The sequence below is a fragment of the Homo sapiens genome, chromosome 5 (genome assembly GCF_000001405.40).
Source record: "Homo sapiens chromosome 5, GRCh38.p14 Primary Assembly".
Taxonomy (NCBI): Eukaryota; Metazoa; Chordata; class Mammalia; order Primates; family Hominidae; genus Homo; species Homo sapiens.
Genome location: NC_000005.10, coordinates 52,943,952 through 52,969,214, shown reverse-complemented (window position 1 = coordinate 52,969,214; position 25,263 = coordinate 52,943,952). Strand labels below are relative to the sequence as shown.

The following is a 25,263-nucleotide window of genomic DNA, read 5'->3' as shown; positions in this document are numbered from 1 at the left end:
TTCTCAGCACCACATCACACTCATTCTAAAACTGACCACATAATTGGAAACTGCTCAGCAAATGTAAAAGAACAGAAATCATAACGAATAGTCTCTCAGACCTCAGTGCAATCAAACTAGAACTCAGGATTAAGAAACTCACTCAAAACCACACAACTACATGGCAACTGAACAACCTGTTCCTGAATGACTACTGGGTAAATAACAAAATTAAGGCAGAAATAAATTCTTTGAAACCAATGAGAAGAAAGACACAATGTACCAGAATCTCTGGGACACAGCTAAAGCAGTATGTAGAGTGAAATTGATAGCACTAAATGCCCACATCAGAAACCTGGAAAGATCTAAAATTGGCACCTCAACATCACAATGAAAAGAACTAGAAAAGCGAGAGCAAACAAATTCAAAAGTTAGCAGAAGACAAGAAATAACTAAGATCAGAGCAGGACTAAAGGAGATAAAGACACGAAAAACCCTTAAAAATATCAACTAATCCAAGAGCTGTTTCTTTGAAAAGGTTAATAAGATACACAGACCACTAGCCAGACTAACAAAAAGGAAAAGAGAGAAGAATCAAATAGACACAATAAAAAATGATAAAGGGGATATCACCACTGATCCCACAGAAATACAAACTACCATTAGAGAATAATATAAACACCTCTATGCAAATAAACTAGAAAATCTAGAAGAAATGGATAAATTCCTAGACACATACACCCTCCCAATACTAAACCAGGAAGTTGTATCCCTGAATAGACCAATAACAAGTTCTGAAATTGAGGCAGTAATTAATAGCGTACTAATCAAAAAAAGCCCAGACCAGATGGATTCACAGCCAAATTCTACCAGAGGTACAAAGAGGAGCTGGTACCATTCCTTCTGAAACTATTTCAAACAATAGAAAAAGAGGGACTCCTCCCTAACTCATTTTATGAGGCCAGCATCATCCTGATACCAAAACCTGGCAGAGACACAACAAAAAAAGAAAATTTTAGGTCAGTATCCCTGATGAACATTGATGCAAAAATCCTCAATAAAATACTGGCAAACTGAATCCAGCAGCGCATCAAAAAGCTTGTCCACCACAATCAAGTTGGCTTCACTCTTGGGATGCAAAGCTTGTTCAACGTACACAAATCAATAAATGTAATCCATGACGCAAACAGAACCAATGACAAAAAACATATGATTATCTCAATAGATGCAGAAAAGGTCTTTCATAAAATTCAACAGCCCTTCATGCTAAAAACTCTCAATAAACTAGGTATTGATGGAACATACCTAAAAATAATAACAGCTATTTATGTCAAACCCACAGCCAATATCATCCTGAATGGGCAAAAGATGGAAGCATTCCCATTGAAAAGAGGCACAAGACAAGGATGCCCTCTCTCACCACTCCTATTTAGCATAGTATTGGAAGTTCCAGCCAGGGCAATCAGGCAAGAGAAAGAAATAAAGGGTGTTCAATTAGGAAAAGAGGAAGTCAAACAGTCTCTGTTTGCAGATGACATGATTGTATATTTAGAAAACCCCGTCGTCTCAGCCCCAAATCTCCTTAAGCTGATAAGCACCTTCAGCAAAGTCTCAGGATACAAAAATCAATGTGCAAAAATCACAAGCATTCCTATACACCAATAATAGACAAATGGAAAGCCAAATCATGAGTGAACTCCCATTCACAATTGCTACAAAGAGAATAAAATACCTAGAAATCCAACTTACAAGGGATGTGAAGGACCTCTTCAAGGAGAACTACAAATCACTGCTCAAGGAAATAGGAGAGGACAAAAACAAATGGAAAAACATTCCATGCTCATGGATAGGAAGGATCAATATCATGAAAATGGCTTTACTGCCCAAACTAATTGTAGATTCAATGCAACCCCCTCCAGCTACCATTGACTTTCTTCACAGAATTAGAAAAAACTACTTCAAATTTCATATGGAATCAAAAAAGAGCCAAGACAATTCTAACCAAAAAGAACAAAGCTGGAGCCATCACGCTACTTGATTTCAAACTATACTATGAGGCTACAGTAACCAAAACAGCATGGTACTGGTACCAAAACAGATATATAAACCAATGGAACAGACAGAGGCCTCAGAAATAACACCACATATCTACAACCATCTGATCTTTGACAATCCTGACAAAAACAAGCAATGGAGAAAGGATTCCCTATTTAATAAACGTTGTTGGGAAAACTGGCTAGCCATATGCAGAAAACTGAAACTGGACCCCTCTTTACACCTTATACAAAAATTAATTCAGGATGGATTAAAGACTTAAACATAAGACCTAAAACCATAAAAACCCTAGAAGAAAACCTAGGCATTACCATTCAGGACATAGGCATGGGCAAAGACTTCATGACTAAACACCAAAAGCAATGAACAAAAGCCAAAATTAACAAGTGGGATCTAATTAAACTGAACAGCTTCTGCACAGCAAAAGAAACTACCATCAGAGTGAACAGGCAACCTACAGAATGGAAGAAAATTTTTGCAATCTATCCATCTGACAAAGGGCTAATATCAAGAATCTACAAGGAACTTAAACAAATTTACAAGAAAAAAACAAACAATCCCATCAAAAAGTGGGTGAAGGATATGAACAGACACTTCTCAAAAGAAGACATTTATATGGTCAAGAAATATATGAAAAAAAGCTTATTATCATTGGTCATTAGAGAAATGCAAATCAAAACCACAATTAGATACCATCTCACACCAGTTAGAATGGCCATGATTAAGAAGTTAGAAAACAACAGATTTTGGAGAAATAGGAGCGCTTTTACACTGTTGCTGGGAGTGTAAATTACTTCAACCATTGTGGAAGACAGTGTGGCAATTCCTCAAGATCTAGAACCAGAAATACCATGTGACCCAGAAATCCCATTACTGGGTATATACCCAAAGGATTATAAATCATTCTACTATAAAGACACATGCACACGAATGTTTATTGCAGGAGTCTTCACAATAGCAAAGGCTTGGAACAAACCCAAATGCCCATCAATGATAGACTGGATAAAGAAAATGTGGCACATATGCCCCCATGGAATACTATGCAGCTATAAAAAAGGATGAGTTCATGTCCTTTGTAGGGACATGGATGAAGCTGGAAACCATCATTCTCAGAAAGCTAACACTTGAACAGAAAACCAAACATTGCATGTTGTCACTCATAGATGGGAGGTGAACAATAAGAACACATGGACACAGAGAGGGGAACATCACACACCGGGGTCTGTCAGGAGGTGGGGGGCTAGGGGAGGAATAGCATTAGGAGAAATATGTAATGTAGATGATGGGTTGATGGGTGCAGCAAACCACCATGGCATGTGTATACCTATGTATACCTGTGTAACAGACCTGCACGTTCTGCACATGTATACTTAAAGTATAATAATAATTTAAAAATTTCACCAGTTTTCAATTTGTATTAAAGATGTAAGCAGGCCGGCTAATGTTAAATAGTTGTGAGGTAAAACATTTTACCTATTCTCATAATAATACAAAGATCTAAGACCTTAAATTGGTAGTATTTTTTGGATCAGCACCATTACAAGCTACTATGTTATTTGTAAAATGCATTTCTGTCACCTTATAACTTTAATAATTCTGTCAAGGATCCGCTTGTATTGTCACTGTGAGAAAAGATCATTAGATGCAAAATGCATCATAACTATGCCTTACTTATGTTTGCACTATTATATGTTGTTTTGATTTTTATAATAGTTTAATAGTTTATTATATAGTAATCATTTTTTTTTTTGAGATGAAGTCTCGCTCTGTCACCCAGGCTAGAGTGCAGTGGCGTGATCTTGACTCACTGCAACCTTCGCCTTCTGGGCTGAAGTGATTCTCCTGCCTCAGCCTACCGAATAGCTGGAGTTACAGGCATGTGCCACCATGCCCGGCTAATTTTTGTATTTTTACTAGAGATGGGGTTTCACCATGTTGGCCAGGCTGGTCTGAAACTCCTGACCTCAAGTGATCCATCTGCCTCACCCTCTCAAAGTGCTGGGATTATAGGTGTGAGCCACCGCGCCCGGCTATATAGTAATAATTCTAATATTGCTATATTTTATCCTAATATTACAGTCTACTAATACTGCTTCTTTATGTTTTGGATGAATGAAAACACTGGTTTGAGAGTTCTGACAGTTAGTAGAGGGTAAATACATTGAGAGACATTAACTGGAGAGGCGATTTTAGATCTTAAATTAATAAGGAAATGGAAAAATTAAATAAAATCTTACTTTGCACGATAGGTAGTAAGTTTATGGAACTCATTGCCCTAAGTTATACTTAATAGGTTAAAGAACACTTACATAAATACAGAGACTTTTGTTGATGCATAGCAAATATTAGAATTTGAAATGAAAGATATACTTTCAAATAACTAGTGCTTCACAAAAGCAGAACAGAAGCTACAGCTGGGATACTGAGGACCTTACGGTTGAAAGTGCCCAAGCATAGACCAGGTTTCACTGTTTGGGATGTTGTAAAGAAGTTTCCAGTACTGGGTGATTTTTCAACTGCCTCCAAGGGTTCAAGTCTATGATTAGTGATCATTTTGTATGTTCATGATTTCCTTGCCAAAGAGATGTAAGTGAGCTGGAAAAATATAACTATAAAACGTTATTCACCATCATGGTATTCCCCATGGCATTGCTTCTGACTGACAAACTCACTTTGCTGCAAAGTAAGTGCAGCAGTGGGCCCAGGCTCATAGACTTCACTAGTCTTACCATGTTCTCCACCATACTGAAGCAGCTGGTCTGATGAAACAGTGGAATGTCCTTCTGAAGACTCAGCTATAGCACCAGCTAGGTGGCAGTACATCAGAGGGCATGGACAAGATTCTCTACAAGGCTGAATATACTCTGAATCACTGTCCAGTATATGGTGCTGTTTCTCCAATAACTAGGATTCATGAGTCCAGGAATCAAAGGTGGAAATAGGAGTGACTCCACTCACTATTACCCGCAGGGACCCACTAACAAAATTTTTGCTTTCTGTTCTCATAACCTTATGCTCTGGTGGCCTAGGGATCTCAGTTCCTAAGGGAAGAATGCTCCCACCAGGAGACACAAAAATGATTCCATTGAACTGGAAATTAAGATTGCCACCTGGCCCCTTTGAGCTTCTCATGACTCTGAATCAATAGGCAAAGAAGTGAGTTATAATATTATACTGGGTGAGGTGGCTGATCCTCGCTACAGAAGAGAAATTCAACTGCTACTCCACAATTGAGGTAAGAAAGAACATGCTTGAATTCCAAGAGATCCCTTAGTGTGTCACTGAGTATTACCTTACCTTGTGATTATAATCAATGGAAAGCTACAACAGCCCAATCCAGGAAGGACTACTAATGGCTCAGACTCTTCAGGAATGAAGATTTGGGTCATTCTACCAGGTGAAGAACCATGACCAAATAAGGAGCTTGCTGAAGGGAAAAGGAACATAGAGTGGCTAGTGGAAGAAGGTAGCTGTAAGTATCAGCTACAAGTGACCAGTTACAAAAAAAAGAGGACTGTAATTGTTATGAATAGTCCTCCTTATTTTGTTTAGAATGTGAATATGTTTTAAATATAATTATATTTGTACGTATTAAGAAAATATCTTTGATTTTCACTCTCTCTGATTCTTTTGTCATGTAACTGCAGATGTATTGACTTTATATCATAGTTAAGTATTGTTAATTTTCAATCATAGTATTTCAGTTACTAGACATCAAGGAGAAGAGTGAATTTCAAAGACTTTGCCTCCTTTTCTGGGGAAGGGGTTAGTGCATTTTTAGTGGTATGCAGGATAATTGTATCATGTTTGGTGAAATTATGACCTTGTTATTGCCTTTATTTTGAGGTTAAGTATGGCTTAAGGAGATGTGTATGGGTGACAAGTTGACAGAGGTGGACTTGTGATGATTAATTTTATGTGTCAATGTGACTGGGACATAGGGTGCCCAGATATTTGGTTAAACATTATTCTGGTTATATTTGTGAGGGTGTTTCTGAGTGAGATTAGCATTTGAATTGGTAGACTGAGGAAAGCAGATGGCCAGTGTTTTTAGCCTTCATCCAATCTGTTGGAGGCCTGAATGGAACAAAAGGCAGGGTAAGAGAGAATTTGCTCTCTCTGCCTGACAGTTTGAATTGGGATATCAGTCTTCTCCTACACTTGGACTGGGACTTATACCACTGGCACTTCTGACTTTCAGGCCTTTGGACTTGGACTAGAACTACACCACCAGCTTTCTTCCACCACTTACATCATCAGTTCTCCTAGTCTTGGACCTTCAGACTTGGACTGGAACTATACCATCAGCTTTCCCGGGTCTCTAGTTTACAGACCGTAGACCATGGGACTTCTCAGCCTCCATAGCCATGTGAAGCAGTTCCTTATAATCTCTCTCTCTCCATATATATATATATATATATATATGTGTGTGTGTGTGTGTGTGTGTGTGTGTGTGTGTGTGTGTGTGTGTGTAAGATAGATATCTCTCCTATATACACATATATATGTATATATCTCCTATTAGCTCTATGTCTCTGGAGATCTCTGACTAATATAGTTGATCAATTTTTGCATCCATTCAGCAATAAACAAATATTTACTGAAAGTTACTATGTGCCAAGTACTACCAAAATAGATGTGTGTTCTCCTCTACCTCTGTGTTTTCATTTCTCTTCCAGTGACTTCCTCTCAAGTTCCTGTCCTTGGGGAAGCAGCTTCGGACTCAGATAGATCTTGGTTTTTATTTCTACATCACTACTTACTAGCTTTATAGCCTTGAAGTAGCTCCTTAGGTCCTTTGGGTCTCAATTACATCATCTGTATAATAGGAATAATAATAATAATACCATTTAGTGTTGCTGATAGGATTAAAAGGCTTGATGTTGGAAAATTGCCTAGCTCAATGCCTGGCATGTGGGAGGCAGACAACAAATGTTAGTCTCTTACCTTTCTTCCCCTCCCCATAGAAAATTGGGAGACTTCACCAGTCACCATCAGTTTCATTCAAAACTACCTACTTTCCCTGTATTACTGCCTTACATGTCCTGCCACTTTCAGAATTCAAATGACTTTCCATCTAAAAATACAATCTTCATTCACGTGTTTGCTCACATATGGGCTCAGACATGTTCACACAGAGATATACATTATGCTTAATGGCAACTCAAGTGGACAATAGTGAACTCAAACTTCAAAAAAAATTCTGACAAGATGTTGGCAACACAAGACTACATTCTTTACACCATTTATTCAGTGGTTCATCTTAAAAGGGGGAAAACCTGATCAGCCGTCAAACAATACACTAATTGGAATCTTTGTAGAATTACCCGCCTTTTAACGATGAGGTATGCAGAATGGGCAGGAATAAAAGAAGGGTCTGAAAAGTGTGTGAAAAGGAATAACAGATGGTACTTGAGTGAAATAGAATAGAAAAATCTGAGTAAAGGAAGGAAGAAAACAGAAAAGGAGAGATTGAGCATGCAAAGCTAAAGAGCCTTGGGCGTTTTATCAAGGATAGTTAGTCCTTGGAATGGCTAGCTTCCAGCTCCACTAATTACCGTCTGATGGCTGAATCTGGTTGCTATTTTTATTTACCAAGTTGAGACATTTCCACTCTTGCCTTTGGAATGCCATTCTGAGTTGTGGTATCTAAATGAATTCATGCCACACAATCAGTTGAAAGATACTACAAAAACAAAAAAATAGCTGAGTGAAGTGGAAGCTAAAGACAAAACCCACAGATATTTCAATGCTGCTTTTATTAATTCAAGCCAGCACTTGCCAGTGAAGTACTAACTAGAGACCTGGCACATGACCAAAATCTGTGAACTGCTTGGAAGCCTAGGTGCCTATGGACTATGATGCCTGTTCTATTATTCCTGCCACTGGGGTAGCAATTAGACCATGGCAACCAGAATCTGTGTAGGTTAGGGATCCCCCTACACATGAACTTAAGACAAATTTCAAAGTGGGGTGACTCCATGGATTCTTCCTTCATCCGAGTTTTATTTCAGGTGTCAATGGTCCTTGAAAATCTACAGGACATCAAAGTCAATCCAAGCAAAAATCTAGAATATCTACATGCTTAGCAGATTTCCATGGGTCCCTGTCTCCTTCACAAGATTAGAATCTTCCTATGCCTGGAACTAGACACATCTTAAAGTTTATTTTGTCTGATATAATATAGCCACTCCAGCTCTCTTATGGTTACTATTTGCGTAGTGTATTTTTATTCCATCATTTTTCTTTCAACCCACTTGCACCTTTCAAGCTAAAGTCTTTCTCTTTTAGAGGGCATGTAGATCAACTTTATTCTTTTATCAGTCTGAAAATCTCTGCTTTTTGATTTGGGTGTTTAGATCATTTACCTTTAATGTAATTATTGATATGGCCAGAGTTATATTTGCCATATTGCTGTTTGTTTTCTATATGTCTCCTGTCTCATGTGTTCCTCTGTTCCTTATTTACTGTCTTTTTTTTGCTAATGCTTGTAATGATGCCAGGTCTTTTGTTTCTGGCAAAAATTCTTTCTTTCTCTGGGATTATTAATAAAATAATATAGTTGGTTTGCATAATAAACAAGGCCAAATATGCTATCATTCTTAGTGACATTATCTTACCCATCTTTCCCCCATCACTCTTTGCTCTTTGCCCCATCCCACTTTTGCTTGAAGAAGTAGGTAAAGAAGTAATTATTCTCCATGCAGACTATGGAGAATTCTAGTGTGCCATATGTGTATGTGTATGTGTATAGCAGTTATTGGCTCAGAAGGAGAAGGAGGCGAGTGGGTAATTTTCTTCCTTATTGTCAACTTCAAAGCAAGGGAAAGTATTTGATGACCATCATCCTTTTTTTACTAGAGAAAAATTAAGAAATATAATATTATAGTTTTTAAAAGTACAGGGTACTATATTCTTTATGATTTTTAGCATATAATTTCTGGTACTGGTATGATGGCTATTTTAAAATTATTTCTTGTGGTTTTCAAATTATCTACATGTGTATACATCCCCCTTTTACCATAAATGTTTTCTTAACAATTAATATTCACATATTTTTAAGCAATTAAAATAATATTGCTGTTATAAAGAATAAATAGACATAATCTTCAGTCTTCTTAATTCATGATCACTTCTGTTTGGTGAAATTACACTTGACATCTGCCTATGCGGATCACATTATTTTTATAATCAAAGTAAATGAAGGTAAGGAAGTAAATGTTGTGATATTCTCTGGATGTACAAATAATAAATCTTGAGGTATACCATTTATTTTCCAGTGAATATATCCAGATTCTTCCTTAGTAACTCCACTGTATTCTCTTCCTGGATAAGGGGTGAAGAGAGAGAAAAAGCACTTACTTTACAGTAAGAGAGAAAAGATAGGGCAGTGAAAATGTGCTCTGCCAAAACTTAGGTAGATGACCTGACAAATAACCCCTTCATAATTCAGTCTGTGTCTTCTGTAACAATAGCTTCTCACTCACCCCACAGCATAGTTTGAGGGTGAAATTTTAAATAAGATGACCATGTGTTATTTTTACTAAAACTTCTTCCTGTATTTTCTTCTAGCCCTAATATGTTAAATAATTTTATATAATAAAGTATAAATTGAATAAAGAAAATAACTACGTTTAAATTTCTTGATTTTTTTTATATCACCTATGTGGTATAATCTATGTTTATACTGCAGACTATTTATTATTAAAACATCTCATTAGAAGAAGATATATAGTATTATAGATCCTGTGGTTTTTGTCTCAAGTTCACAAAAAAACTAATCACATTGCTAAATCTTGTACAGGAAACACCACAGACAGACTTAATTTACTTTTTGCTTTTTCCTTTTAGAGCATTAGAGTGAAAACCTGCCAAAGCATCAAAAAAAAAAAAAAAAGGTCGGAGCTTCAGAAGAAGTCACATTAATTTTGGAAAAAATATACACACTTAAAAATCACAGCAATCACATTCTTCTTTGAAAAAGTCATTTTTAAAATTTAACATATAAAACAGGATGCTCATTTACCTTGACGTAAAATACACAGCTGATGCACCAGATAAGACAGAATTATACAAAAATACCAAAGCTCTGACCTTCAATTGGTGTACAGGATATGCCATACATAGGACATTCAAAATGCTTTTTTACTCTCTCAGCTATTTCTAATTATATCAGATTAAATGACTGTTACCTGATTTCTTTACAAAATGGGTTTAAATGAAGCATATAATAAATTACAAGAGTCAACAAAGGTTATGCTTCTTTGTTCCTGAATGCAATCGAAACATTTTCTTCTAATGAGTTTATCCAATTAAAGTCTTGTAGAAATGCACATTCCCTTAAGTTAGTCATTTTAGTGAGGCAAAAAAAAATGAGCAATGAAATATAACTTTATGTTAGATCAGGCAGAACAGTTCATTGGAGTGATGGATATTTCAGGGCAGTAGTTCTTGTATGCAATATTTTTCTTGCTAATAAAATGAATACAATTCTTTACACTGTCCATTAACAATTTTACAGTCTCACAGTAGTAATACGCAGTATACCATTCTCCTTACAGGCCAATTTTTCCTAATAAGGAATGCAGAGCATCTCTTGCATCCTGAGTAATGGCAGGCAATATCAGAAATAAAACAGTAAATGTTGAGTTCTCTTGTATAAAACGGTTCTAGAGTGAAGAGGGTCTGAGATGTTGCTGCATTAAGTGATTGTTTTTACTTGAATCCAAAGTGTATTAAACTCCAGGAAATTAGCCTTGGTTAATCTACACATAAGAATATAGTTTTGCTCTTATTTAATCAACAATTTACTTATGCAAAGTACATGTGTTAGTATTGTGGGCAGGGTATATGGGGTCTGAGTGAGCTTAAAGTATTTTGAGGAGTAAGGATGTAGACATAAAAGAGAAATAGTTTCATCATCTTCCACTCCCTCACCCCCATTTTTTTTCCTGTCTCTCAAGGTGCAAAATGCTGCAGCAGCATGACGGAAAGATTGTCACCTGGCACTGGTCCTAAGTGTGGTGGTCCCCTTCTGCACAGCTATTCTGTAGAGGAAAGGACAATTATGTTGGCTCACTGCTTCCCAGTAATCTCTCTCTACCTCTTAAAAAACAAGGGTGAGGATAAGTAATGCAATAGAGAGATTTTTCAAGACCACAACTGGCTTTCATTGTGGTGTCATTTGGAAGATTTGTTTTTAAAATTTTGTCCCCAATCTAAAGGCACAGATCAAACTGAAATAAAAAGATTTAAACATTGGATCTCAGTCTATTGCAAAAGAGTTCCTACAATTCCATACTTCATCTTTTTTTCATAAAGATATTACCTGAAATATGCTAAAGCCAAATGTAAACATAGTTATGAGTGTCACAGGTCCTTAGTTGATTGCCAAGATTTCCCTGGTGTGTCAGATAATTAAAGGATCTCTGAGTGTCTGCTCACCAACAAAGATAACATGTCACCACCCAAGGCCCTGCTATGGGCACAAGGCAGAGAATGGCCTTGCTGAGGAAACCCCAAATCATCCCCACCACGCAGCTGAGAAGAGAAGCCAACTGGAAGGCAGAAGGAAAAGAGATCCTGCAAATTGGCTCTGGCTCCTACTGCCCAGTCTCATAGCACTGAAATTCTCCAGCCTGTGGGAGGAGGAAAATGCTAGGGAGTCTTGTATAAAGTTCTAAATTCATCAGCTACTGGGGAAAGCTTTTGCTATATGTAAAGAGAGAGAAAAAAATACCGATCTCAAAGCAAGGAGTCCAAAGTTAGGAGTGATGAGTCACCCTTACATATTTTTTGGTATGGTAAAATTTCAATGAGAAGCATTCCCGGGTGCCTGATGTAAGGTGCAGATCTTGGGGCATAAGAACAGTAGTGGGTTCAAGGGTTAAGCATCGGCCCTTTATAATGGGAAAAGGATCCATTCCCATTAGTTAGGAACTGGACTTCCTGGGTGGAGATGCTGTAGGGGACAACAGGGCTGGGGCTTAAGAGACTCCAGATGCTACTTCACATTTTCCTCAAGGTTAATGGTTAAAGGCTGTTACTTTGAATTTCTAAATTTAAGATTAAATTTTAACCTGAGGATCAAAGATGCTGATTTGTTCGTCCGATTACAATGTTACAGTTTAACCCTAATTTTCTTATTCCACCTAAGAGTGTTGTTCAACAGTGCTTCCACTTAGAAACAGCAGCATTTAGCCTTTTGTAATGTGCCTTGGTTTCCTTTCACTGCAGTTAACAATTAATACCTGGTGTTGGTTTCAGAAATTCTGTGTGAGAATGGTTTAGAATCAGCAGTCTGATTGGCAGCCAGAGGACTCACCTGGAAGCTGTTTGCATTTAAAAGCCTGCTATTTAGAATTAAACTGTACATTTTAGTTATAAATACAGCATCCATGTGAGGACTTTAAGGCCCTTCTTTTCATTTTTTAGATGATTTCCATGGGTGAGGTTGGCGATTGTTGGGTGCATTTGGAGGGCCATTGAAGAGCTAAATCCTGCTAGCTTCCCCAGGCGTAGTTGCTGATAGTGTCCCATAACAGTTTGTAAATGTCTTAAAGATGTTCCAGCTTGGAAGTATATTCTGCTTTGTCCCTCCTCCATTATACTATGTGAACCCTTTAGAACACCGCTGCAGAACAAAACACTGAAATCCTGTATAAATGATTGAGTCACTGAAGCTGGTACTCAGAGCAAATGTTTTATTAACAGATTTTTCTCCAGTAGTCTTGAAAATCTCCCCTGGGGGAGAAAACTGGCAAAAGGGGGCCTGAGGGTTGTTGGAAGAAATGAAAAGTACATAGGATGCTATTTTGAAAAACTGATTTGTCAGAAGCCACTTTATTTTAACAATAATGTGACTGCACCTGGCACATGAGACAGGCTCTGGGCCTGTTTCTCAATGTTGTGAAAAGCAGGACAGTCAGTTCCCATGGAGTAGATTACAGCGTGTTGGACAAGGACATTCCCCCGCGTGAAGGCACACTCCATGGAGCCAGTGGGGCCACCATTCACGGTGTGCAAGCTGTGGCCTTGGAGAGAACATGGGCAGGGATTCCCCAGCCTCTACTATACCCCAGCTTTACTCCATTGATCACAACAATGGCACTTTTTTCTTTTGGTGCAAATATTTCCATTTTCCAATTGAGCCTAGACTTTGATTTTATAAAAGGAAAAGAGAATATCTATATATGTAAATATCTGCATGTGAGTGTATGTGTATATATATATATATATATATGTATATACGCATTTATAGATAAAATTATTATGGTTGCAGAAGCATCAAATTTTGTAAAAATATCTGTTTACTACAAGCCTCTTTTCAAGCACACTTATGACACAGAAAATATTCAGAGATTAAATTGCCCATGAATCTAGTGCTCAGAGGAAAATAGTTTGACAAATTGGACCAATGAAGTTGAAATTGGATCATAGAAGTTCAAAATATTTACAAAGTGTCATCTTTTGTAATGTGTATCACAGGACTTTGAATTCCTTGGGAAAATGAGACAATTTTTTTGTGGCTTGTGTAGGTCTGATTTTCACTGTGGATCACCCTTTATATTTTCCTTCTTTCAACTCCTTCCTTCTCCTGCAAGTTCATAACATTTTATTAATATCAAAGGAAGGTTATAATTTTAGAAATCAAAATTAAAGAATGGGTGCTGTGTAGCATTATGTTTACTGGGCTTGATATAATCAGTACTTTTGGCATAATTTAAAACATGATTATACTGTGTGTCATTGGATATGTATATAGACACAACATGTTCTCTATCAATATCTATCTATCTATCTATCTATCTATCTATCTATCTATCTATCTATCTGTCTATCGTGTAATCTGTCTCAGTGGTGTGCTGAAGTCAGCTCACACTGGTTGGTAAGAGGTGGCAGATACATTTCCAGGAATTTTGTAAGCTGATTAGGGTCACTTTGGTAGTTTGAAAATGGAGAGAGAATATTTGGACCATGGAAATTGGCAAATGATACAAATCAGAGACTGTTTTTTTTTTCCCTCCTGGACAGTGTGTTGTTAAATAATTTACCAATATACCATTGTAGTTTGGTCAGAAAAGAGAGTGCATACATGGTTCAGTTTACAATGGGAGCAATAATCAATTATTTAGAATACCAAAGTTAGAGAAAAAGAAACTTTTTGGCAATTTGGCCAATAAGTTTATAAATAGTCTTAAATATCACCTGTTTTTCTAATTAAATGTTTTAAAAGTAAATGATAGAGTCTAGTACATTTCTTAATCATTAAATATGTTTTATAACATTTGTACAAAGCTGTTTTGAAACATTTGTTGACTTTTTTTAATCAAACGCTCTGTACTTGTTTTTTAAATAATTGCAGAACTATAAGTTAAACCTAAATATTAATAAAAATGAAACTATATGAAACTATATGAAACTAGATGAATCAAACTTGTCTTGCAGATATAGCTTTTGTGTTTATTTTCTGTAAACTCTGTTTTTTGGTGTTATAGAGCTATTTTTGTATTCAATTTATATGTGTACATGTGTCTGCACATGCACACACACACACACACAAACCTCAACAAATTATAATATTAGAGAAACAGGACTTCTGGTTCATGAAATATTTTACTTAATAGCCAGGAATGACTTATGTTAAAAATTGTGCCGGGCTTATAAGTATCTCTTTGATCTGGCCAACAGCTCTTCCTCTCTTTTCTAAAAACTTCAAAATGCCCTCATTTCTATTTTTTCCCTTTCAGTTAACAATTTAGTTTAAAAGTGCACACTTATGGTTCAGTAAATGGGCTTTGTCTAGTAGTCACAGATGCTGAGTATGAATTTCAATGGATCCGTTAGCTTTACTACTAAGATCTTGCTGAGATCAGAGAAGGGCTTCTGGGCAGGCTGAGCACTGGGGGTGTGCAACATGGTAACTCTGAATAAGAGAAACCCTGAGTTTTACTGGGCAAAGAAAGAACAAGTGGTAGGTATGATTTCTGAACCTGGAAATAGCGAAAATGAAGGAAATTCCAAAAGCGCGTATTTCCAAATAATGACAGGCCAGCAAGAGGACACCAAACCTCTAGAAAGAGGTATTCTTTCTTCCAGCTACTGATGGCTTTGGCATCCCACAGGCGCATTCCTTTGGCCTTCAGGATCTTAGATGCGGATGTGGAGAGTCAAGAGGTAGGCTGACTCTGAGTCTTCAGCTAAATTCTTTGGAAATTAGTTTAAAAAAATAAATTTATAACATTTAATTTCTATGTGGATTTGCTCCTCTTTGAACAAAGCAGAGCCCAGGAGTTTCTGGATGAATACATGTTCTGGTCTTGTTACAGGTTCTGGTAAATCAGATGGAGAAATGTTGTTGCAGAAATGTCAGCAAACTTTACAGCAGTAGTTCACACATGCAGCTACTATACATTCATTCATTGCTATTTTCCTAAGAAATGGAGCAACCTAGGAGCTTATGCTACAGTAGATTCCAATGAACCATAATGACTACTTCAAGAACAAAGAAGCACATACAAAGGTGTGATATCTTCCTGTTGGTTTGAGTTTTCAAACCTGAAATTCTTTAAAATACATTTCTGGGATTTTATTTAAATATTGATGCAACACACCTAAAAAGCAGTGACTTCTTGGTAAAATGTAATACTGAAATGGAAAATTGTCTTTTCAAAAAAATAAGAAGTGTGGTTGGAAATTAAATACCTTTTAAAAAATTAAAAATAAACACACTCTCACAGCTTGGGGGTTTGAATGAACCCTGTACCAAGGAGTTGAGACAACTCTTTCTTTGGGTCACATACTGGAACCCTTAGCATTCAAAAGCTGCTCAGCAAAGATAATTTCAGCATTTCAGTGGCATCTTTCTCTGCTGTCGTATTTCATTCAGAAGCCATTTTAGCATGTCCCCCATATATGGCTTTTCATGACAAATCACTGTGATGCCACACAAAACTACTTTAAGTGTTTTTTCAGTATAAAAGAGTTTTGCATTTAGAGCTCAATATCAAAATTAAGCATGTTCTGTAAAAGCTTAATTTAACCCATTTAATATACTTGTTTTTAAACGAGTCTATCCTGATTTTCCATCCTAGATAAAATTTTAGCTCAATTGCAGTACTTTCCAATCACCTTGGGCAGGGAGGGAAAATTTTTAGGTATAGAACCCAACACAAAGATGCTAAATGTATTCTTGGTGACTTAATTTTCAATCCATATTGTATATGGATTCTACCAAGGGAAAATATTCTCATTTGAATAGGGAGAAATGATCTTTTTCAGGTAATTCTTTTCTTGGCATTTACGAGTGCTGACTGTCATGCTGAACATGGATATCCAACAGGAATCAAGGGGAAAAGCTTAATTTATATTGTTTTGAAAATAGATGTTTCTATGATCATAAAAATCTTTTTATATATTCCTTAAATATTTTGGATGGTGATTTAATACATAAACATATTTGTACAGGTTTTTTTAAAAACACTTTGTAATTTTGCTTACTCAACAAAAATGAGTAATTATGTAAAATATTTTTTGTCATTTTATAAAATATGTCTTTTTGGTATTGTTTTTGGATAATGCATGACCTGTCATTTTCCAAGTAATGAATCCCTGATGGATTACATAGTTACATGACTATGTCATGAATTATACATTTCTTGTCACATATTTGAGGCAAACCTGAGGATAGATTATTGAATAATTGTTATTATTTTCTTTCATAAAATATTTCATTTCTCCATTTTCTTTTTCAGTGGTCTTTTGAAGAATCCAATCTGTTGAGAAAACACAAAACATAACACAATTAACTATTTTAATTTAGGTAGCAAATATTAATCCTTTGGATAGAATTAAATTTAATAGTATATTGGCAATGCTGGGCACACAACTAATATAATTAAGAAATATTTTCTCATTGACCTATTAATATTCAATGTCAAAAAATGACATTTATTAAATTGCTGTTTCTTTTTTTTTCTTTTCTTTTTTTTTTTTGAGACAGTCTCACTCTGTCACCAGGCTGGAGTGCAGTGGCGTGATCTCCGCTCACTGCAACCTCCGCCACCCGGGTTCAAGTGATTCTCCTGCCTCAGCCTCCTGGGTAGCTGGGACTACAGGCATGCACCACCATGCCCAGCTAATTTTTGTATTTTCAGTAGAGACGGGGTTTCACCATGTTGGCCAGGATGGTCTCTATCTCTTGACCTCATGATCTGCCTGCCTCGGCCTCCCAAAGTGCTGGGATTACAGGCGTGAGCCATCGCGCCGGGCCGCGGTTTCATTTTTAATATTTTCATTGGTTAAATACACCATGACCCCTAGTAAAATATAGTATACACATTGAACTAATTAAAAGCTTCTGGGAAAATATTTTGGGAGACAAACTGCAATTAGCTAGCATTGTCTCTTCTTTGCCATCATCTTTTTTTTCAGGGATGTGGCAGAGAAATTTCCATCAAATGATCGATGACCATAAGTTGAGGTCATTAGAGATGGTAGGGAATCTGACAGGTATATTATGGCTAGGGCGTTAGGGAGATTTCTGAGTTGTCTGTATTAACTTTAAATGCATCAGGACGTCTGCTTATATAGATTTGATATAAAAAGCCTCTTGAAAACACACTATATCATTTGGAAATAAAAAATGAAGTTGTTGACCATAAGAAAAATTTCACATCGTGGTGGATGGTGAGCCATATTTCATTATGCTTTGCAATTTGGGGCATCATAAAAAGTTATAAGTGCTGCAATTGTTTCCCATCCTATAGAATAACAAAACTAAGTATGGGGGATAGAAGGGATCTTTGCAATTATCTAACCTAAAATGCTTATTTTTAAAAAAAGAAAATTAAGGGTCATAGGTAAGTGATTTTTCAAATTTGTATATATTTTTTAAATTTGAGAGGGGGCTATAATAGATCGAGCAAAGGCAATGAGTTAATTCTTTAAAAGTGTGGCACCTCTACATCATTTTAATCACGAAATTATGGCAAATTATGCCAGGGAACTATGTGTTTATAAAATAATTATTAAACAACTGAGGGCTTAGAGGGGATAAACCCTCAAAAATATGCACTTTTAGGTTGGAAAATTTTTATTCAGGGCTCATGTCTTCTATTATGCCATCATCTAGTTGGTGGTAGATGAAGAAAAGGCGGTAACGGAACAAATACACATGAAAACAATAAGTTTTTCTTCCCCAAATGCCAGCTCTCCTACACGTCTCAGGCTTTTTCATATGAGCCAAGTATAAAAGTTCCAGATTCACAAACCATTAGGCTTCTTAACTTGTGCCTGCATGTCCTGAGTCAAAAATAAACAGACAAGGCTTTCACAAAAGCAGGTGGTGGATTCTAAGACTTTTTCTCCTTCCCACTCTGCTTTGCTTCTGATCTCTCACAGCTCTTTTTGCTTCTTTACAATGCTCCTTGGCTTCTACACATTAAATGTTCTATTTTAAAATAACTTCTGTTATCTAAGCACTCCACCCAACCAATTAACATGGGTTTTTAAGAGAAGTTGAGTGGCAAAGAGTGGAGATTAGGAGAAAATAGTTTATAGCTTCAAGATGGACTGGGCCAATCCTAGCCCAAATTTGAAACCAATAGAGTTTGTTTTCAGCCCCAACACTTTCTTTGCAGCACTGGCTTTCATTTTTTCCTTCCTGTGTTTGCTTCATGATCCCTTGTTCAAAACCCTATGGCAAAGGCTCTAATGAGGTGATAACTGTCAGAAAAGTAAGTGCTTAATGAATATAACATGGAATAATTGCTGAATGAATAAATTCATACTAATGTATAAAAGACTAAAAAGTGGTGAGACACCAGTCCCCATCCACACCCACCCAGAACATGTATATTGGATGAAGAATAAAGCTTTAGGATTAATAAATAAATCATCAGTTGAGGAACTTCAGGCATCATTATGACATCAAGTTAGGAGAGAGGAATGTTCTGAGTCTCTCATGGCTCCTGGTGTGCTGGCATCTCCCCCGGCATGTGGTACCACAGTTCAGGACAAGTTTCTCCACCTATTTAAACCTACGTCCCCTACAAGATTCCTCCCATCAATCATGAAGTGTATTAAGCAGCTACTAACACTTTGTCAAGCTTTAATTTTTGCCATGTGTATGATGAAGACAAAGATATAAAGACTGTGTCTTTTGAAAGTGAATCTCTGCTCTAAGAGAAACTTTTGGCCTGTCTCTTACACAGAGACTCAGACTTGGGAGTTCCAATGAACTCCAAACTGGTGGGATTCAGGAAAGGAAGGAAGAAGGGATAGTCCTGAGGTGTCTGATCCAGATCTAGTTAGAATAAAAAAGATGTCTGGGATAAGAGTAGCTCTTCTGAACCTACTGCAACTGAACTCATGCTTCAGGCAGCTTCCAACAGAACTTTAAAGTAGGGGGAAGTGGGATTAGCCTTCTTGATATAATGGAACTACCGAAAGTCTGAATCCAACCAGGGACCCTCATTCCAAAACCAAAGACAGTATTATGTGTTTAAGAGAGTTCATGACTCTCTTGAACAAAACCCAACTCCTGGAGCTCCAGAGTAAAGAGCCCTACCCTATAGCCTGCAGCAGTAGGATATATTGGAAAAAGAAAGAGCTCTGTAGATCATTCCTTGAATCCAGTCATTTACTAGCTAGTAATCATGGGAGAGTCACTTTACCTCCCTTTGCTTTAATGTCCTCAGGTGTAAAATGTAGTTAAAATACTTGGTCGAAAAGATTGTTGCAAGGACACCAGAGTGAATGGAAGCAAGAGAGAACACAGAGTGATAATAGTCAGTGGTTTTGGCACAGAATTCAGATCCTTACTCTGAATCTCACTATGTGTCTTTGGGAAATATACTTAAATTTTATGTTCTTCACTTAAAAGAGGAGGTTCATACGACCTCATAAGGTTGATATGAGTATTAAGTGGGAATGCTTAAAGCAGAAATGTTTAAAATAGCTCCCTGCACATAGTAAGCATTCGATAAGAGCTAGTTTCTTCCCTTCTACCTTAGAATCACAGTTCTGATTGCTGGGCCTCCCAATGAAGTGGCTGAACTATTTCTACCGGGTAAGACAGCCCAAAGTTTGTCAAATGATCTTCTTTTGGGCCTGCAATAATAATAATATTAATAATAACCTAAGAAGCTGTCAGAATGTATCAACACATCATTATCTGGATGAAACAATGAGCTTAGTTTTACATTTATGCTTTTTCAGACTACTGACTGAAAAATAGGTGACTGAAATTTCCTATTTGTTTGTCTGAAACAGAGGTACAAGGCCTGAAAGAACCTATCCAAATATCAGCTCTGGTTTTCCTCTTCTCCTGCCAGCGGTGTTCTAAAACCATAGAGGTAAGTGCAGTGCTGAGAACAGAAGACTATGCTGAAAAAAATCAACAGTAACACTCTCTATTAGAGGTGCATAGAAATGAAGAAACCACTTCCTATATTTCAAGTACAACCTTGACACCAATAAGCCAGGCCTTGGGTACCACAGTGTGGCAAAGCTAGGTATTACAGAGAGAACACTGATCCCTTATAAAGTAGAAGGAAGAGCTGGACATTGGCTATAGTGGAGAATTTTGTTTGGGGAACTTTGCTAGAGAAAAGCCATGGATTCTATTTACTGAATTAAATGCCACTGACCTACATCTGGCTTTGTTCACCATCTCCTCTGAGACTAAGCCCCTCAAAAGAGGAAGTGAGTCATAGGAGAGTAAGAAAGGATAGGAACAGTTGGTATTTCAGTGGGAGAGAAACTTGCTATTTAAACTATTTGATTAAATAATTATGTTGCTCAGGTAATAGAACAATTAATATGTAGCCACAACCTATATTTTTAACATAATTTAACTATTTAACAAAACAATAGGTAAAATCTAGGGGGATATTATGCTAGAATAAATGCTTATTTGATATTTAATTGAAAAAACATTCAACTCTGTATGGGATGTTATTCTCTATTCAACTTATCCCAAAAGCTGTCATCTCAATTCTACTTAATGTGAAAATTATACAGCTGCTAAGAGTTTTAAAAATCATGTCTATTTCAGCCTAAGCAAAACATTACATAAATATCCAGAGTTACTTGACACAAAATAGGTGGTTACTCACATTTACCACAGAATTTGAAATAGGAGTCTGTGAAACTTTAAGATCTCCCCTACATCAGCTGATCCCTTATCCTCCACTCAGGCACACAATTTATTACATAAAATGTGCCATATATATTTAAACATTAAAGAATTATTTGATATTTAAGACACATGGAGATGTGATTAAAACAAGGCTTATTTTAACCTTGAATCTACTGCTTATATATCCTTAAATTGACATAGGAATTCATTTTTTCTTTCTCTATAAAAGACAGTTTTCATTGTTCTCTGTTTATAAAAGAAATACATACTTATTATAAAATTTTAATTGTTACACATGTGAAAGTCCCCTATCATACTAAACTCTAGAAAGATACTTTTGTGAATTTTTGACTATTTCTAACTTAAAATAAGTTTTTTTTCCTTTACAAAAATTGGGTCAAGTTGTGTGCAGTGTTTGAAATACGCATTTTTCTTTTTTCTTTCCCTTAGTCATCATTTCAACGTTTGTTTCATTGCTGTAATAATACTATATTACATAGTCTGAATATATCAGAGCTTATTTCTCCAGTTTGCTGTTGATGATTGAAGTAGAGAGTCAAAGGAATTTTGGTGTTTACCTTCCACAGTGCTAAAATGAGCAGCATTAACAGCAACAATCCGGCAAAAGCACTCAGCAGGATGACCCATAATGGCACTCTGCCCGGTAGCCCATCTTTGGATATTTGAATAGCAAGCTGAAAATTATTAAACAAGATTGTTAACATAATAAACACCTATTAGAACTCCTGGAACATTGAGTTCTTGCAGGCTACAATTCTCTACCAGTGCATTAATCTCGTTACTATATAATGAGAAAACATTAGATTTACATTAGAAAATGCTCTTCATCTAGTCTAAATCTCTAACTATGTCAAATTTATTATTACCAAAAGGTATTTATAATATTATCCTTCTGAAATTTATACATAAAGGGTTAAATGTCAATGGATTGGAATGCTCAAGGGGAGGAGTGAATTTCTGTTTAACTCAGGGAGAACCAAAGTATTATGTGTGTTAAAGATTAATTAGTACACTACTGTATTATCACAATAGCATTAGTTTAGATTGGAATGTCGCAGTTTGTTGTCATAAGAACCTGAGAAAGTCTCCTTATTTTATTTCTAGTGTGCATAATTTTTTGTTTATAAATTGAAAGTATAATGCATACATGTCAAGTGTATGGGTAAGTGAATGTTTGCATATGTATTCACTCCCAGTGTGCTCTTCATTATACCACAATGTTTCTTCTACTTGACTTATCACTGGGTCCACATGTATAAATCAGGTTTTAACTGAAGCAAAGCTGTAAAATGGACCGCTTTTAGTGTTCCAGCTACTCAAGCTCTCTCAGGGTGGCACTCAAACCTCAATGAAACCTATCTGCTCTGTGTCTCATCCCTGGGGGATTTGAAAAAAATTAATTTAGGGTAGATATCAATGGCTAGTAATAGTTCAAGCCCTGTATTTGCCTTTAACAGTAACACCTCAATTTCTTTACCTAGAGGGAAGATTAGGGTAGAAAAAGAAACTAACAGGGGAGAGATTTGTATATGCATGATACTAATCAAAACCTCTCAAATCACTCCAGGTAGGTGACAGAGCTGGCAAGAATGTAGACATATACAGCATCAGACCATTATGACAGTTTCTTAAAACAAAACAAAACAAAACACAGATGGGGTTTCACTATTTTGCCCAGGCTGATCTCAAACTCCTGGGCTAAAGTGATCCTTCCATCTCAGTCTCCCGAGTAGGCTGGGATGACAGACATGAGCCACTAAGCCCAGCAAGGCAGATTTTAAACATATGTAAAACAATTCCCTGAACTTACAGATATGGAAACCGGAATCTAGATAAGATCAGTGACTTTCCTCAGATCACACAATTACAAAATGATCACTTTTAGTAATTTTATCAATATAGATATAATTTTTCCTTTAGGATGAATGTAGAATAAATATTTCCAGGGGAATTTTTAACTAATATTTAGGGAAAATAAAACTCATTATAAAATTTTAACACATAAATTTAGGAATCATATGTACTTTTCCAACATAAACCATACTCAAATTTTTTAGGTTTTAGTGAAATGTTGGCTATTCTATGTAAGGAACAACTTTGCATTTTGCATTGCTTATGCTAAGCGCTCTTTATGACATAAGTAAACATTATATGCATGTATTTTCCTTTTTCTTGAAAAGCGTATACTTATCAGAAGTCATTGATATTGGAAAAATTTGAAATAAGCAATTTAAAAAGAACATCTGAAAGTTAGGGAGCTTCCAAATTGAATTTTATGATTCACATGGTGCTGTTATCCACATGGGATATTTAAAGTCTCCCATGAGAAGGGGGGAGATCATGCTGAAGTGCCTGCATGTGTAACAAGTACTTATTTTATTTTATTTTTTTAGAGATGGGGTCTTACTCCGTCACCTTGGCTTATTAATTTATAAAAAGGACAAGAGTTAAAAACTCAAACCTTTCTATTTTTACTGAGGACTCAAGTCTGAATTTGTATTAGGAAATACCATCACTTTTTTGTTTCAAATTTCTCAATGAAATTTGAAAGAAAACTTTAAAAAATGTACATGTTTTCCTGTACAGTATAAAGGCACTTTTTATAAAGAAGTTGTTTTTTGCGGCTGCTCTTCAGATATCAGCTGCATTTTATAATGTCAGCTTTTAAGGAGGAAAGTTACAACTGCATCATTTGTTATCAAAGTGAAAGTAAAAACATCCATTTACCGTGATAGTTATAAGTGATAAAGTCAAATGCGGCATGTGAATTGTAAATATCATGATTTTCCCAGTGTCTTACAAGGATGAATAAGACTAAAATCACATTTGAAGCTAATGAAGTATAATTTGAAGCAAATAGTGTCTGTCACTTACCGAGAGCAATACCAGTCACTGCTTAAGGGACTATCAACAATTATAAAACATTATGTCACAAAATTCAGAGTGAAATGCATAATGTTTTCAAAACTCATGTTGCACTTACCTCTCTTTTTTGATTGCTGCTACTTAAAACCAGAGATGCATTTTCACTCCGAAGTTCTCCCCTTATAGTAAGATTTAAGCTGGAAAAATATGACTGAAAAGCAAATAGGATTTGTTCTTAATATATGATGCTAATCAAAATGAGAGCTAGTCATGTTTGAGTAGGACATTTATAAAAGCTAAGATTTTTCTGAGAGATTAAAAATTCCAGTTTTGTTAACTTCCAAATGGAACTGGTAGTATCAAATAATAACCGTGCACTTGTCCTCCCTCATTTGCCACTGAAAATCCTTACTTAGATCCTCGTTATGGAATGAAAAAAAATTTTAAAAATATTTTGTATTGATTTATCATTAGAAAAAACAAACCTCAAACTCTGCCTACCTTTAATGTAGCAAGACATGAAACAACTACATTCTGGTGATGAAGTTTATCTAGGCACTTATTTAGGATTAAAAATGAAATTGATGATCTAGGGGGACAAGATGGCTAACTAGACACAGCCATCTCTCCCACTAAGAGATCCCAAATTATCAAGTAAATAATATAATTTGGGCAGATCTGATCTCTAGGGAGAAAACACCGCAAGTGTGTGGAGAGGCAACACAGATGCTGAGGCTGAAGAGGGAGAAGCTGGGAACCCTGCGTAGGGTACCTGAATGCTTGGGCTACTTCCTGGCCCTAAATGGCTCCTGGAGAAGGGGTGAGGGAGGGGACTGAGGGACAGCTCACTCTTGCCACAGACATCTGGGATCTAAGCTACAGAGTACCCAACATCTCCAATGGATGTGTGAGCTGGCAGGTGGATTTTCCCAGGGAGCAGGTAGAGACAGGGCTTCAGCTAGCATGGAGCCCAGGAGCTTTTGTGAGCAGAGCACAGACATAGGTGCCCATCCCCTCGGACTCCCCATCTCCTTCAGAGAGGCTCTAGCCCCAGGTGACCACAAGCCAGGAGAAAGCAGGCATTCCCCATGGGACTGGGGCATGTCTGTTCTGCAGCCTCTCCCGCCTGCCAGACCCTCCCAGAGTCCCTGCCTAACTGCCCCACAGGAGCATGTGCACAGCGCAGTCTCTGCCGCCCAGCC

The 25,263-nt window shown here is 36.6% G+C and overlaps 1 protein-coding gene and 1 long non-coding RNA gene across 2 annotated transcripts in view; one reads left to right on the top strand and one right to left on the bottom strand.

Annotated features, from left to right (window-relative positions):
- The window catches only part of ITGA2-AS1 (ITGA2 antisense RNA 1), a 59,681-nt gene that overhangs the window by 21,072 nt on the left and 13,346 nt on the right, over positions 1–25,263 (top strand). The window contains exon 3 of the long non-coding RNA NR_186583.1: positions 20,308–20,390. This is a non-coding gene — a long non-coding RNA (ITGA2 antisense RNA 1). The remainder of the gene's footprint in view (positions 1–20,307; positions 20,391–25,263) is intronic.
- Positions 10,006–25,263, bottom strand: part of ITGA1 (integrin subunit alpha 1) — a 171,294-nt gene continuing 156,036 nt past the window's right edge. The window contains exons 27-29 of the mRNA NM_181501.2: positions 24,180–24,272; positions 21,754–21,870; positions 10,006–16,808 (exon numbers count right to left, since the gene is read on the bottom strand). Of these exons, the coding sequence (NP_852478.1) occupies positions 16,764–16,808; positions 21,754–21,870; positions 24,180–24,272 (255 nt within the window). The 3' untranslated portion in view covers positions 10,006–16,763. The remainder of the gene's footprint in view (positions 16,809–21,753; positions 21,871–24,179; positions 24,273–25,263) is intronic.